General features: G+C 47.7%; 1 long non-coding RNA gene across 1 annotated transcript in view, besides 3 other annotated features; it reads left to right on the top strand.

The window, feature by feature from the left end:
• The window catches only part of TMEM220-AS1 (TMEM220 antisense RNA 1), an 85388-nt gene extending 76894 nt beyond the window's left edge, over positions 1–8494 (top strand). The window contains exon 4 of the long non-coding RNA NR_073458.1: positions 8229–8494. This is a non-coding gene — a long non-coding RNA (TMEM220 antisense RNA 1). The remainder of the gene's footprint in view (positions 1–8228) is intronic.
• Positions 582–1083: an enhancer, noted in NCBI's record as "H3K4me1 hESC enhancer chr17:10710569-10711070 (GRCh37/hg19 assembly coordinates)". NCBI's record gives its function as "activates a minimal SCP1, AML or CMV promoter by ChIP-STARR-seq in naive H9 embryonic stem cells {active_cell/tissue: H9 hESC(naive)}" and the evidence as "EXISTENCE:reporter gene assay evidence [ECO:0000049][PMID:30033119]".
• Positions 1084–1583: an enhancer, noted in NCBI's record as "H3K4me1 hESC enhancer chr17:10711071-10711570 (GRCh37/hg19 assembly coordinates)". NCBI's record gives its function as "activates a minimal SCP1, AML or CMV promoter by ChIP-STARR-seq in naive H9 embryonic stem cells {active_cell/tissue: H9 hESC(naive)}" and the evidence as "EXISTENCE:reporter gene assay evidence [ECO:0000049][PMID:30033119]".
• Positions 8332–8833: an enhancer, noted in NCBI's record as "H3K4me1 hESC enhancer chr17:10718319-10718820 (GRCh37/hg19 assembly coordinates)". NCBI's record gives its function as "activates a minimal SCP1, AML or CMV promoter by ChIP-STARR-seq in naive H9 embryonic stem cells {active_cell/tissue: H9 hESC(naive)}" and the evidence as "EXISTENCE:reporter gene assay evidence [ECO:0000049][PMID:30033119]".

Here is a 15540-nt window from a genome sequence, read left to right on the forward strand (position 1 = left end):
GTGGTTTGCTGGCCATCTGTGACGTTCCTTGCCTTGTAGATGCACCACTTTGATCTCCGCCTTTATCTTCACATGGCGTTCTCCCTGTGCGCATGTGCGCATGTCTGTGTCCACATCTCCCCTGTTATAAGAAGCACCATCCTGCTCCAGTATGAACTCATCCTAACTAATTAGATCTGCAAAGATCCTACTTCGAAATAAAGTCCCATTCTGAGTTACTGGGGGTTAGGATTTCAGCATATGAATTGGGAGGACAGAATTCAACCACAGCCCATAGCAATACCTAAAAGGTTTGTTTGTTTATTTGGACATCCTTTGATTTCTAGCTGTAGTATAGATAGAAAATTTAGACTCTCAAGCCAAGTTTTCAGAAAAAACATAATTGCAAAGTCAGCACCCCATTGAAGGTGGCCCTCCATGCCAGCAGGCACTGCTTCAACCCCTCCCTGTCTCTCCTGGGGACACGGAGGTGCTGTTGGCTATGTCTGTGTCCCTGGGCGAGAGGCTGAGAAGGTGGGGTCTTCTCACCCTGCTTGGGTTCTGGCTGCTGTCACCTCTATTCACCAAGCCAAGGTGCTCATTCTCCACGAGTGGGTAACCCTAAGTGACCCCTACACATTTTGAAGTTTGAGCTGAAGTGGGATTTAAATTGAACCAATATTATTAGCACCTACTATGGGTCAGGCAGCAGGATCAAGATCAAGTATGATCTTGATCTTGACCTAACATCACAGACATAAGATGCTAAGAGTGGAGGCAATAATTAACACATGAATGGTATAATTTCAGATTATATTGCAATTTAATAATTTCAGAAAAAAATCGCAAAAACAGGGAAGTATAAGACAGTAGGCATCTGTTACACTCCTCTGGACATTTGCTTTCTGAACCATAACATGGTGTGGAAGGCACAGGTGGACGCCTAGCCCCTGGCCTGCAACTTCCAATTTGGTCACTGAGGGCCCCTCTGCCTCTCTCCTTCTGCGATTTTGCTGGGCTGTTGGGGCTGCAGCCACCCCTGTGCCTCTGAGAGGTTTGTCTTTCTGCTGCTGTCTCACAGCTCCGCCTCTTCTCGGCAACTGAGACGTTGTCACTCCCTTGGCAAAGTCATCATGATTTGTCATCCGTGATGTCACCAGATGACAGCCTCTCCATGACCTGGATCCTAAAGGGCAGGCAACTGACACCAGGATGGACTAGCTAGGTGCTCAGCTGACCCAGCGTCACAGATCCCAGACCTGACTCCATGAATGACAAAGGCCCAGTCACATCCTGGGTGGCAGGCTCAGATGTTGGGTGGGTCTAGCCATGCCGGCCTGTTCATTAGGTCTGCCTACCTTTTCATGGTGCAGAGCTTAGTAGAGTGCCTAGCTGTGCCACTCACTTGCTGTGTGACCTTGAGCAAGTCACTTACCCTCTCTGTGCCTCAATTTCCTCATAGGATTACTGTGAGGCGTAAGTGAGTGCATGGGTGTGAAGTGTTTAGAACCCGCACTCTGTAAACAGGGACAAGTGTTATTGTTGTGGTTGCCGCTGGGAATCTTTACATTTCTGCCATGATGCTTATGTAAGGAAAAACCCAGGTTGGAAGGCATCCATCCATGACTCTCTGGCACCATCATTTTCTCCCCTTTACCAACCTGGGCTTCACTTGGTAGCAGCTGCCTGGCCCTTGGCCTCCCCATACTACCCTCACTAAATCTATTAGGACGTGCAGTGCTGTCTCACCATTCTTCGATGGGTACAAATCCTTTATTTTCATGAACTCCTCTTCCCAGATCCATTTTATCTTTCAGATCCCTTACCTCTACCAAAGTGGCTCTTTATCTTCACCATCCTCAAATCCCTCAACGCCCCCTAATCTCGTAATCCAGTGTTTATCAAGCTTCACTTATTGTTTAAGTGTACCATTCCCTGCAATTTGTGTCTCTTACTTATAGAATATTACATTCGTTTGTTAATGCTATATTATTTTGTTAATTTTTAAAAATGGATTTGTTGTCTCTACTAAAAAAATACAAAAAAAATTAGCCGGGCATAGTGGCGGGTGCCTGTAGTCCCAGCTACTCGGGGGGCTGAGGCAGGAGAATGGCGTGAACCTGGGATGCGGAGCTTGCAGTGAGCTGAGATTGTGCCACTGCACTCCAGCTTGGGCGACAGAGCAAGACTCCGTCTCAAAAAAAAAAAATGGATTTGTTAAAACTGCAATCAGTTATTGTCACCATCAGTGAAAAACTGGTGTGACTTAGACAGAAAGTACTTGGGAATAAATATACTGAACACAAAACAATTGTAATTAAATCAGACCAGGGGTACTCAAACTCTTTCTGTATTGGGCCAGATAGTAAATGTTTCGGGCTTTGCAGGCAATCTTGTTGGTCTCCGTTACAGCCATTCAACACTGCCATTGTAGTGTGATATGGTTTGGCTTTGTGTCCCGACCCAAGTCTCATTTCAAATTATAATCCACATAATTCTCATTATCCCCAACTGTCAAGGGAGAGACCAGGTAGAGGTAATTGGATCATTGGGGTAGTTTCCCCCATGCTGTTCTTGTAATAGTGAGTTCTCACGAGATCTAAGGGGCTCATCCCCCTTTGCTGGGCACTTCTCCTTCCTGCCACCTTGTGAAGAAGGTGCCTTGCTTCCCCTTTCCCTTCCACCATGATTGTAAGTTTCCTGAGGCCTCCCCAGCCATGCTGAGCTGTGAGTCAATTAAACCTCTTTCCTTTATAAATTACCCAGGCTTGGGTATGTCTTTATAGCAGTATGAAAACAGACTACTGCATGGTGAAAGAGCCAGAGATGATATGTAAATGAATGAGTGTGGCTGCATTCCAATAAAACTTTGCTGTAATCCCAGCACTTTGGGAGGCTGAGGTGGGCAGATCACCTGAGGTCAGGAGTTTGAAACCAGCCTGTCCAACATGGTGAAACCTTGTCTACTAAAAATACAAAAAATAACTGGGTGTGGTTGCCCATGCCTGTAGTCCCAGCTATTCAAGAGGCTGAGGCAGGAGAATCGCTTGAACCAGGGAGGTGGAGGTTGCAATAAGCCGAGATCGCACCACTGCACTACAGCCTGGATGACAGACGGAGACTCCATCTCCAACCAAACCAAACCAAACCAAACAAAACAAAACACCTTTATTTACAAAACCAGGCAGCAGGTCAGATTTGCTGATTTCCAAACTAGACATTGTTGCCTACTGAAATTGCTCTCTTTCTCAAATAAAGACCCAAGACTCACAAAGTTTAGAGAGGTACATAAAACATAATAGCACCAACCAGTGGCTTTGTCCTGGAAGTCATAGGAAAGATTGAATGAAAATTGAAATGGCTATGCCTTTTAATGTGAGCCTGTCTGCCAACTGAAATCCCTTCCCATACTGCCAGGGATATAGTGCCAGAATCTGGAAAAATGTTGACCCTGATCAATGCTCCCCAATCAATCTTCATTTACTCCTCCTTTTTCTCAGTGTGGGACTTAGGGTCAGTATTTTCAGAAATGTATTCGCTCTTATCTTAGTGACCCCTGACAATTTTCAGAGCTCTTCATTCCTCCTCTGTTAGGCTACCCACAGGGTCTTATAAGAATTCCCCAAAGTGCGCTGCCTGGACCTCTGTAATCCATGCTCGAGGACCCTCCCTCCAGCTCAGGAAACTCTAGCCCTCTTTTCTGGTTTTCCTATCTTATTCCCTACTGGGCTGACCTAAACCTTCATGACTCCTGTCCACATCTCAAAAGCATCCTCCCATTACCACCTCCTTGCTGCTCATCACCTTCCTTCTCCGCAGGTTGGTAACCTTGCCCCCTTTCAGCAGATAATAATAGTATTTCCATGCATTTGTGTTGCACTTTATGTACAATGGACATCGATCTACATCCAGCATCTCCTTGTCCTCCCTGCAGCCCTGTTCCTCTTCCAGAGTTGAAAGCCGTTAAGAGAGTTGCCTAGGTTCAGCCAGCAAGTAGGTAACAGAGCTGCAATTAGAACCTGGTCTTGTCGTCTCATGGGCATTAAATACAAATACCAACTCTTCTCCCTTTCCTCTTCCCCACCCTTGTGTCAGTTGTTTCCCAAATCCTCAGATAATCAAGTTAGTTTCTTTCTTATTCCCATTTAATTAATTTTTTTTTTTGAGACGGAGTCTCACTCTACTGCCCAGGCCAGGCTGGAGTGCAGTAGCACGATCTTGGCTCACTGCAACCTCCGCCTCTTGGGTTCAAGAGATTCTCCTGCCTCAGCCTCCCAAGTAGCTGGGATTACAGGCACACGCCACCACACCTGGCTAATTTTTGTATTTTTAGTAGAGATAGGATTTCACCATATGGGTCAGGCTGGTCTCAAACACCCGACTTCAGTTGAGTCACCTGCCTCGGCCTCCTAAAGTGCTGAGATTAAGGCATGAGCCACTGTGCCTGGCCTTTAATTAAGTTTTTAATTAAAAATTATTTATTTTCATTGTAGAAAATGTATGTGACTAACAATTTGCTGCCTTAACCATTTTTAAGTGTACAGTTCAGTGGCATTAAGTGCATTCGCATTGTGCCACTATCGCCACCATCCACCTCCAGAACATTTTTATTGTCCTGAAATGAAGCTCTGTGCACATTACATACTAACCCCCCAGACTGCCTTCCCATAAGCCCCTGCAACCACCATTCTGCTTTCTGTCTCTGTGAGTTTGACTACTCTACCTACCTCATGTAATTGAAATCATACTATACTTGTCCTTTGGTAACTGGCTTCTTTTTCTTAGCATAGAGTCCTCAAGGTTCATCCGTGTTGTAGCATGTGTCAGAATGTTCTACCTTTTAAGGCTAAATAACGCTCCATTGCGTGTATTTACCACATTTTATGTATCCATTCACCTGTGGGTGGACACTAGGTTTGCTTCCACCTCTTGGCTATTGTGAATGATGCTGCTATAACCATGGGTATAAAAATATCCATTTGAATCCGAGCTTTTGATTCCTTTTGGTATGAGTGTATATACCCAGAAGTAGAATTGCTGGATCATATGGTAATTCTATGTTTAATTTTTTTTTTTTTGAGGCGGACTCTCGCTCTGTTTCCCAGGCTGGAGTGCACTGGTGCTATCTCGGTTCACTGCAACTTCTGCCGCCTGGGTTCAAGTGATTCTCCTGCCTCAGCCTCCTGAGTAGCTGGGATCACAGGTGTGCGCCACCAGGCCCAGCTAATTTTTGTATTTTTAGTAGAGACAGGGTTTCACCATGTTACCCAGGCTGGTCTTGAACTCCTGACCTCAGGTGATCTGCCTGCCTCGGCCTCCCAAAGTTCTGGGATTCGAGGCATGAGCCACTGTGCCCAGCCTATGTTTAATTTTTGGAGGAACCCATTCTCATGTGAGGATCCCATTCACTTTCCACAGTGGCTGCACCATTTTACAATCCCATCAGTGATCTAGGAGGGTTCTAGTCTCTTTATATCCTCACCAAAATTGGTTGTTTTCTGTTTTCTTGATAATAGTTATCTTATCCTAAAGTGAAAACTGGATTCCTATGTACTTTTATACTAGTCCTCGTTACATTGATCCAAGTAGTTTGTTTAGTTTTCTGCCCCCCTCATGAGGCTGGGCATCCCTGTCAGTACAAGCATCCCTGCCTTCTCCTTGGTAGCCCAGCACCTGGTGTTCACTGAATAGATGCATTCTTTATAATTCCTGGGACATTCCCAGTTTATTGGAAAAGCTGAGGCTGCTTCGCCAAATCTCCCCAACTCTACTCAGCTCTACTCAAAGTGCCTCTGTGTTGTTCCTCTCTTCCTTCCTCCCATTTCTGGGGAGGTAGTCTCCCAGCTACCTCCCATCAAAGCAAATTGCTTCCACGATAATACCTTGAAGTCCCATGATGCCGGGAAATCCAGCGCTTCAGTGGTCTACTGTGAATGTGGGTCCCTTCCACACCAGTTTATTTTTGCTGCCTGTTTCTGCTGACACTCAGCTCCAAGTTCATTGCTGGGCACATTGTACAAGATGTTGAGATGGAAATCCTGAGGCATCACCACCATGAGAGCAGCTGGGTTAGGCGTTAAAGCCGATATTTCTGTCACCATTTTCTGGCATCGCTGGATTGCCCCAGGAGCAATCAGGTGCAAAGCCTGCTTGCAAAGTTCCAGGGTTAAGCTGCCAGAGGTCTTGGCTGTCACCCCCTTCCTCCCGCAGCCAGGCCCAGTGCCAAGTTCCAGAGGCCCTGCCCAGGCAGCTCCACCCAGAGCTTCAGAGCTAGAGCTTCAGGCCTAACTGCCTCTCTAGCCATGACCTCCTACTGGAGCTGGGGTCCAGCACTCCTAAGCTGCCAAGATGTCTTTAAAGATGTGCAAAGCCAGGTATAAGCAAGCAAGAGGAATATGGCGCCTGCCTTCAGGGAGCCTAAAGTGGGGAGAGGCTTTGGGAGGCTGAGGCGGGCGGATCATGAGGTCAGGAGATCGAGACCATCCTGGCTAACATGGTGAAACCCCATCTCCACTCAAAAATACAAAAAATTAGCCAGACGTGGTGGGAGCCACCTGTAGTCCCAGCTACTTGGGAGGCTGAGGCAGGAGAATGGCGTGAACCCGGGAGACAGAGCTTGCAGTGAGCTGAGATCACGCCACTGCACTCCAGCCTGGGCGACAGAGCAAGTCTCCGTCTCAAAAAAAAAAAAAAATGGGGAGAGGGAGGAAGAGGAAAGACAGTGGAAAAGCAGACATGAACTAATCATGTAAATTAACATGTAAATATGACAGAGATGAGAGATCAGCAGCCAGAGGTGAAGGACCATGATCTATGAGAATGTGATAAAGAGGGCACTGACCAAGGCTTCCCTGAGGCTCTGCTGTTGGAACTGAGATTCAAAGGATGGGCAGGCGAGGCCAGGGAAAGGGGTGTGAAGAGGCTCCCAGGTAAGGCAGGAGTGTATGAAAGCACTGATGGTGGTAGATGGCCCTGCCGTGTGGCTGGGACAGAGAGGAGGAAGGGGCAAAGAATCGTGCTAACATCTTTCTTCTAGGAGTGTTGGGAAGCTGTTGGAGAGTTTTAATCAGTAGGGGATGTGATCCCTATTTTATTTTTTATTTTTTAAATTTTTTAAAAAATTTTTTATTTGGCTAGGCGCAATGGCTCATGCCTGTAATCCCAGCACTTTTGGAGGCCGAGGCGGGCAGATCAAGAGGTCAGGAGATCAAGACCAGCCTGACCAACATGGTGAAACACCGTCTCTACTAAAAATACAAAAACTAGCCAGGCGTGGTGGTGCGTGCCTGTAATCCCAGCTACTCGGGTGGCTGAGGCAGGAGAACCGCTTGAACCCGGGAGGCAGAGGTTGTGGTGAGCTGAGGTCACGCCACTGCACTCCAGCCTGGGTGACAGAGCAAGATTCCATCTCAAAAAAAAATTTTTTTTTTTAATTTTACTTTAAGTTCTGGGATACATTTGACCCAGAAATCCCATTACTGAGTATACACCCAAAGGATTATAAATCATTCTACTATAAAGACACATGCATACATATGTTTATTGCAGCACTATTTACAATAGCAAAGACTTGGAACCCACCCAAGCAATCCATATTTTTTTAAGGAGGCTGCTGTACAGAGAACAGATTGGAAGGGGCTGAGATCAGAGGGGAGTGTGGCAAACAGCAAGCACAGTTGCAGCTGAGCTGATAGGAGGAAGGTGAGGACAGTAAAGACACCTCTCTTTCCACAGAGGTGGATCAATTTGAGAGCCTGCAGGGGAGTGAAGTCAACAGAACTCCGTGGTGGATGCAATGTGGGATGAGGGAAAGGGAAGGGGTTATTGTGGACTACCAGCTTTCTGTTTTGCAAAGCTGGGTGCTAATGGTGACTCCTGAGACACTTATCATCATATCTACCCTCTTAATAAAGTTTTAAGCACACAATACACCGTGCTGTACAGCATATTTCTAGAATTTATTCATTTTGTAGAACTACAACTTCACTGTATTTTGATTTCCAAACTTGATTTAAAAGCTACTAGACATCATAAGAAATTAGAAAAAAACAAAACAGAACACCCTTCAGCCATGTGAACCAAAGAGATCGGGAAGAACAACCAAATGAGAGGCATCACCCAACAGGGCTGTGAGTCAGACCAACATGGTGGACTGACAAGGCTCATCCGGCAGCGTGGAGAGGAGAGAGGGGAGGTAGAAAGAGGTGAGACGTGGTCTCCAACTCACACTGCTTGCCTTCTCTCTGCAGGGAGCCACTCTGCCCTTGTTTTCCCCTTCCCTCTTCTGGAATGTTCTATCCGAGATCTTCACGTGGCTGCCTCCTCTTCATTCAGGTCTGAGCACAAATGCTGCCTCTCCAGAGAGGCCTCCTACAGCCAGAATCTTAAGTAGCCCCCGCTCGTCTCTCTCCTTCACCCAGTTTCTCGGCTTCACAGTCCTCATCACTCTCCGACAGCATCTTCCTCATTTGATGGTGTCCTTGTTTGTGGCCTGTCTGCTCCTGGCAGGGGAAAGTTCTAGAATGCAGGAACTTTTGTCTGTTTTGTTCACACCCTTCCTCTCTCCAGGGCCCAGCTCAGCACTGAGGCCGTGTGCTCCGGTGCTCCATAGCTACTCACTGAGTGGATGAATGGAACAGTGTGGTCTTTCAGAGGCCTTATGGGAGAAAGCTTTGTAAGCCATCCCATGCCTTTCCCACATCGGCATCAGCCTCAAGCCCTGGCCACCCCTTCCTCCTCCAGACTGAGCAGCCACTCCTCATTCTCCAGCAGCTCATGTGGGCTCCACCCACACCTACCTTGGCCTGTCTCTTCTCACACACACAGGCTCTCCCAGGGGCCAGCCCCGCTCCCTTTCATCTGTTTGTTGGGGTGAACCTGAAAGCAGCTGCTCTGGCCTTGACCATGGGTCATGCCTGGTGCCAGTTGCTAGTCTGGTTTCCCTGCCTGTCCCAGAAAGCAGCCACGCCCTCTCCCCTGAGGGATGGCAATTCCTGCAGGCACGTTCCACTGGCCTCTTCTTCCCTCTTACCCGTGCATAGGCACCAGGGGAGTTTGGCAATTGCTCCCAGAATTATTTACTTGAAGTTCTTACCTGACTTTTGTGAGGTTCTTACTTGGATTCTGAGCAAAATTCTAAGTAAAAATGTGCACGTGCAAATTAGTCTGGGTCTTAAGAGGATCTCTAATAATTACAGTAATGTTACGGGTAAGACCCTGCACTTGGTTGCCAAAATGTTGTAGCCTTTGTTTGAAATCAGATATCTATGTCCTACCCGAAACAATCTATATATGGTTTTACATGTTCAAATGTAAAGCTATTTTTATCGATGATTTGGGAATTCTTGCATTATTGTTGTAGCCTGAAATTCTCTCTTCTTCTGACAAAGATAATAACAATATCTGCATTTTACTGAATGCCTACTGTTTTAGTTAGTTCAGGCTGCTGTTACAAAGTGCTATGGACTGAGTGGCTTATATTATGGGCAACAGTCATCTATTTCTCACATTTCTGGAGGCTGGAAGTTCAAGATCAGGGAGCCAGCTTGGCTGGAGTTTGGTGAGGGCCCTCTTCCAGGTTGTAGTAAGTTACTCAGGGTCAAACAGCTGGGAAGCCCTGAGGGGGTGTGAGACCTGGTGGGCCGCCTCCAGAGTCGACTCTTTTTATTTTTTTGAGGCAGAGTCTCACTCTGTTGCCCAGGCTGGAGTGCGGTGGTGTGATCTCAGCTCACTGCAACCTCTGCCTCCCAGGTTCAAGTGATTCTCCTGCCTCAGCCTCCCGAGTAGCTGGGATTACAGGTGCACACCACCACACCCAGCTAATTTTTGTATTTTTAGTAGAGATGGGGTTTCACCATGTTGGCCAGGATGGTGTCAATCTCCTGACCTCGTGATCCACCAGCCTCGGCCTCCTAAAGTGCTGGGATTACAGGTGTGAGCCACCACGCCTGGCCCAGAGTCAACTCTTAAACATACATGATGCTGTACATTTGGTAAGGTTAGGTAATCTTAATTTTGACAACCGCAGAGATTGAGACCTGGAAGAGAGAGAGAGAGCGGTGTCTCCTCCAATACAATTCCTCCTCACCACCCTCTTTCACCCACCCCTGCCTCAGCTCTTAGAAGGGGTGGGCCAGCCTGAGAGGCCACTGAGAAAGCTGGGTGCCCTGTGTGAACCCCACTCTTCCCTGTCCACCACCTGGATGTCTAGTGTGAGAAAGTTCCTGCAGCCTCAGAGATAGGAGGGGAAGAGGACTGGAACCATCAAAGTCATGATGCTTTGACTTTTTTCTCTATTTTCTCTTTCCTTAGAGACTGGAGGAATGCTTTGAAATAGATGACAGCCAAATATAAAATGTCATTGATTCAGAACTTACTTATGAGAGTCTTTGCTCTAAGTATATCAGTTCAGGACCTAATCAAATCATATTCAAAACTCAGAAGAAGAAAATAACTTCTCCCAGTCATGTCACCTAAGTAGGAATTGCAGTTGGCTGCAAGTAACAGACCAAAAATAATGGTGACTTAAATAAGATAAAATTTTATGTTTATCTTCTGTAAGAGTAGCCTGGGGTTGGGCAGTGCAGTTGCTCCCTGGATGTCTTGAAGGTCACAGGCATCTTATAACTTTCTGCTCCACCCTCCTTGACAATGGCTTTTATTCTCAAGGTCAGTTAGTGGTCCCAGGATGGCAGCTGCAGCTCCAGCCATTGGGTCTGCATCCAAAGAAGCAAGGGTGAAGGGACAGCAGCATCCGGCAGGTGAAGAGCTTGTGGCAGACGGAGAGCTTTTTTGGCCTCCAACTAAGGATTTCCAGACACATCTCATTGGTCAACTGCTGTCATGAGGGAGGCTGGGGAATCTAGGAAGGATCATACTTTAGCCAGGCATATTGCTGCCTTCAAAAAAACTAGAGGTTTTATTACCAAAGAAGATGGGGGAAAAGGATATTCAACAGGCAAGTAGTTGTCTCTGACATTTCCTCCAGAAAACCAGATTTCTGGCTTGGGCAATTGGCTAAATGGTACTGAATGGTGGTGTTGTTTCCTGAGACAGGCGACACAGAAGAAGGAAGAGGAGGAATTCAGTCTGAGGCAGGTCGAGTATACGCTGCTGGAGGCATTAAGGTGAAGGTTTTTGTTGTAGGCAGAACAATGGCCCCCTAAAGATGTCCAAATCCAGGTCCCTGGAATTTATGAGTAGGTTACTATATATGGCAAAAGGGACTTTGAGTTGTGATTAAGGGGTGTTATGGGCTGAACTGCATTGCCCCCAAATTCTTATATTAAAATTTGAATCCCCAGCACCTCAGAATTGGACTGTATTTGGAGACAGAGTGTTTAAAGCGGTCATTAGGTTAATGTTGTCATGAGGGTGGGCCCTAATCAAATCTGCCTGGTGTCCCTGTAAGAAGATGAGATTAAGGAACAGACACATACTGAGAAAGGACCACATGGACACACAGGGAGAAGACGGCCATCTGCAAGCCAAACAGAGAGCCCTCAGAAGAAACCAAACCTGCTGACACCTTGCTCTCCGACTTCTGGCCCACAGAACTGTGAGAAAACAAATTTCTGGTGTTTAAGCCATCCAGTCTCGGCACTTTGTCATGGCAGCCTGAGCAGACTCATAAAAGGATTTTGAGATTGGGGGTTATCCTGGGCCATCCAGGAGGGCCCAATGTAAGGTCTCAATATAAGTGCCCAATATACAGCATCACATAGGGGTCCTTATAAATGAAAGACAGAGGCAGGAGGGCCGGAGAAAAGCTGTGATGACATAAGAACACCAGCCGTCTTCTGTGGACATTGGCTACGAAGATGGAAGGGGTCTCAAACCAGGGACTGCAGGCGGCCTCCAGAAGCTGAAAAAAGCAAGGAACAGATTCTCCCCTAGAGACTCCAGAAGGACACAACCCTGCCTGTACCTGGGCTTTAGCCCTGTGAGATCCATGTTGGACTACTCACCTCCAGAACTGTGAGAAATAAATTTTTGTTGGTTTAAGCTACTAAAGTTATGGTGTTCCTTTTTATTTTATAATCACAATAGGAGGCTAACACTGTATATTCAGTAGGCATTTAGATGTATGTTTTGCAAAGTCACCAACACGCAGAGAATAACTGAAGCCATTGTCATGGACAAAATCATTCAGAGAATTATTTAGAATGAGGAAGAGACGGAATCTAGGGAAGAATCTTCTGGGAGACCAACATTCCAGGAAAGGGAAAAAATTGCACTGCTGTTTCTTTGATGGCTGGGTCTCAGGACTTAGAAGTGTAGCCAGATGGGGACATGTGGGGAGACACTGATCCCCCTAAGTGCCTTCCTTAGACATGACAGCTGCACAACACAATCGAAGGCTATGATGGACAGGTTTCCAAGGAAACAGCAAAAAGCAAGACCGTGAAATAGAGGTGTGAATAGAATCAAAAGGGCATTGCTTTTTATAGGCTGGGGTTCTCCTACTAACCCACAGGCAGCTCCCAGTCCCCACCCCCTCCATCTCCCCATTCCTTTCCTCTCACCTCCCACCCCTACGTGAACACCTATCATATCTCCATTCTAGAGAGCTGGAAAGGCAGCCTGGAGCCAGAATGACTTGGGCACACACCCTCTGTGCATTCTGTCCTCCCTCTGTCTCCATCCTAACTGATGATCTCCTTGCTTCTCTCCTCTGGGGACTCTCTTGATTGCTTTCTGAGATGAGAGCTCATCTTTCTCACAGCATCTCCAGTTTTGATGTCTGGTGCATGGCAGGTACTCGGGGCCTTGAAATGCTAGGCTAACAGCTACTCTTGAGGGAGGGATCAGAGACCATGTCTGAGAAAGGGATCAGAGGAAGGGAAGGTCCCCAGGCCCTAGGGAATGAGATAGGCAAAGGCTGCCTGAATAGAATCTGCTTCCCTTCTCTTTCAGGTCTTCCTCCCATGCAACCCCACAGGAAAAGGACGATGATTGATACTTACATTCCTTTATTGATTGAAAAAGAGCCCAACATGGTCTACATGATTATCAGAGGGGCCACTGGCCATCACTCCCCCTCCTCTTTGCAGTCACTTTGGTGGTTTTGCCAGAGAGCCCTGCTGTGCAGTGGGAGATGGTCTTATTTTGGAGGTGACCTTTACCTAAACTTCGTTCTCTTTGGAATAGGAGACCTGGACTTGGAGAAGGCCTGCAATCTCTCTTTCCTGCACCTGTAGTCCACAGACGTGAGCACTGTCCCTTAGCCATAGAGGACTCCCCCCACCTCCCATGGAGACCAGGGGAAGCTGACTGCACAGAGCCAGAGCCCAGCTGGGCTGGTGGAGTGCCTGGAGCTCTGTGCAGGTCTGGATAGGAGGAAACGGCCAATAGGAACTGGACCTCCTTGCAGGTGCTAGGAGCACAGGCTCAGGGCTCTGGGGATGGGAATGAAGGTAGGACCTGGGAGGGCAATTGTCTGCCTTGGTTTCTGCGGGGTGGGGCTTCTTTCCAGGAGCTGGTGTAGTAGGGTCAAGGCCCTTCAGTACCAAGCCCAAGGTCCTTCAGTGACTCCTCTCTAGTCTTGAGAGATAGAGGGAGGGTCTTTTGAGAATGAAGGAACAGAGCAAGTGGCCCCTAAAGCACCTCTGCCTGTGGGAAGACCAGGTGCTCAGCAGCTCTTCTCTGGAGAAGTGGTATTTGGTCTTTTTTATTTTTTATTTTTTGAGATGGAGTCTCCATCTGTTGCCCAGGCTGGAGTGCAGTGGCACCATCTTGGCTCACTGCAGACTCTGCCTCCAGGGGTCAAGCGATTCTCCTGCTTCAGCCTCCCAAGTAGCTGGGATTACAGGTGCTTGCTACCACGCCCTGCTAATTTTTGTATTTTTGGTAGAGATGGGGTTTCACCATGTTGGCCAGGCTGGTCTTGAATGCCTGACCTCGAGGGATCTGCCTGCCTCGGCATCCCACAGTGCTGGGATTACAGGTGTGAGCCTCCATGCCCAGCATGGTATTGGATCTTGATTGCCCCTTTGCTTCTAGGCACTCCCTGTGGGAGGTGGTCTTAGCCTTATGAGGGGTTATGAACTTGGCCTATAATGTGATGCAATGTGAACACAACCTGTGTCAGCAGGTCCTGAATCCTCCTGCTGCTCAGTAAGTGAGCCTGGCCCCTGGAACAAAGGCTGTATGTACCAAGGCCACCTTGCTTTGACAGTGTGGTGATTGGAGCCCCCATTCCTGCCCGTGACCATGCCCATAGAATGGAACCTCATGCTTATGGCCTGGAGCTCAGGATATGAGAGCATATGAGCTCTGGAGGTAGCCGTGGGCTTATGCCTCTGACTGGTGCTTATAGGCTGAGACCTGGGGCATGTAACTTACTTTTCTAAGCCCCATTTACTTAACTGGAAAAGGTGCTACAAAGGTTTGCATACAGGGGAGAAAAAGAACAAACTAAACTGTGTGAAAGCCCCCAGCACAGGGTCTGGCACAGAGGAGGTGCTCAGAATGCGGGCTTCTTCCTGGCTGGTGGCTCCTTTTGTCTTCCCTTCTGGGCTCCTGGCCAGGAATTTTACCCCCGTCCTGGGCCCCTGCCTGGTGTGCCCTCCCAGCCTGTCTGGTGACCTCAGCTCCCTTTCCACTTTCCCCACCTTGTTGATGCCGGTGCCTTCTGCTGCTCCTTAGAGGCCTTTAGAGAGCTGTGTGGAGGTGGAGGGTATGGGCGTGGCCTCTGCAACTAGACCAGCTGGGTTTCAATCATGCTGTCCTAGCTTGATGTCCCTGTGCATTACTTATCTCACCTGTAAAGTGAGGATGATGGTAACAGTATTTCAGGACAGGATTTTGGAAAGGATTGAATGAGTCAATGAATAAAGTGCTTAGATCAGCTTCAGGCATGTAGTGAACACCCAATAAACAGTCATCATTTCATTCCTCTGCTCTTCAGACACCACCCCAGAATGCCTCCTTGCCAATCGCCTCTGAGCACCCCTCCTTCTTCTGTCCTCCCCTCCCCAACCCTACCCTCCAAACCCCCATGGCACAGGGTTGTTGCCACCCAGCAGCATCCCCAGGTACACCCCCTGGGTAGTTTCCTTGCCCACATTTAATATCAGACATGTTTGGAGCTCTGGGTTTTGGTTTTCTGGTGCCCTCTGATCTTTGAGTGCAGGAGATAGTGAGGAGATGGGTATGAGGGTCAAGAAGGGTGGGGGGTCATGACTCTGGCAATGTTGCAGGAATTGAAGGAGGAATAAAATATCCTTTGCTCTACCCAGACATACCACCAGTTGCTTTCTTATTTCCTTTATGGATTGAGCCAGCTAGTGCAAGCAGAAAGTCAAGGCCACAGTGAGTTTGGTGGGAAGCCAAGTGTAAGAGAGTCAGGATTAAAAGGCTGGAGGGGCAGAGGAGGCCAGCACAGGAGATGAGGAGAAGGGGCTTAGAAGAAAGGAGACCTGGGGAGCTGAACTGCACCTGCTCCTTGTGCCTGCTCTTGTCAGTTACTGGGGACATTGATAGGCTGACCCTGGAGCAGCTGCCTGCCTTGCCCCAAAACACTGATTCATTCTGGATGGTTCTTTCTCGATATCTCTTTTT

This window comes from Homo sapiens, chromosome 17 (assembly GCF_000001405.40).
Source record: "Homo sapiens chromosome 17, GRCh38.p14 Primary Assembly".
Lineage (NCBI taxonomy): Eukaryota > Metazoa > Chordata > Mammalia > Primates > Hominidae > Homo > Homo sapiens.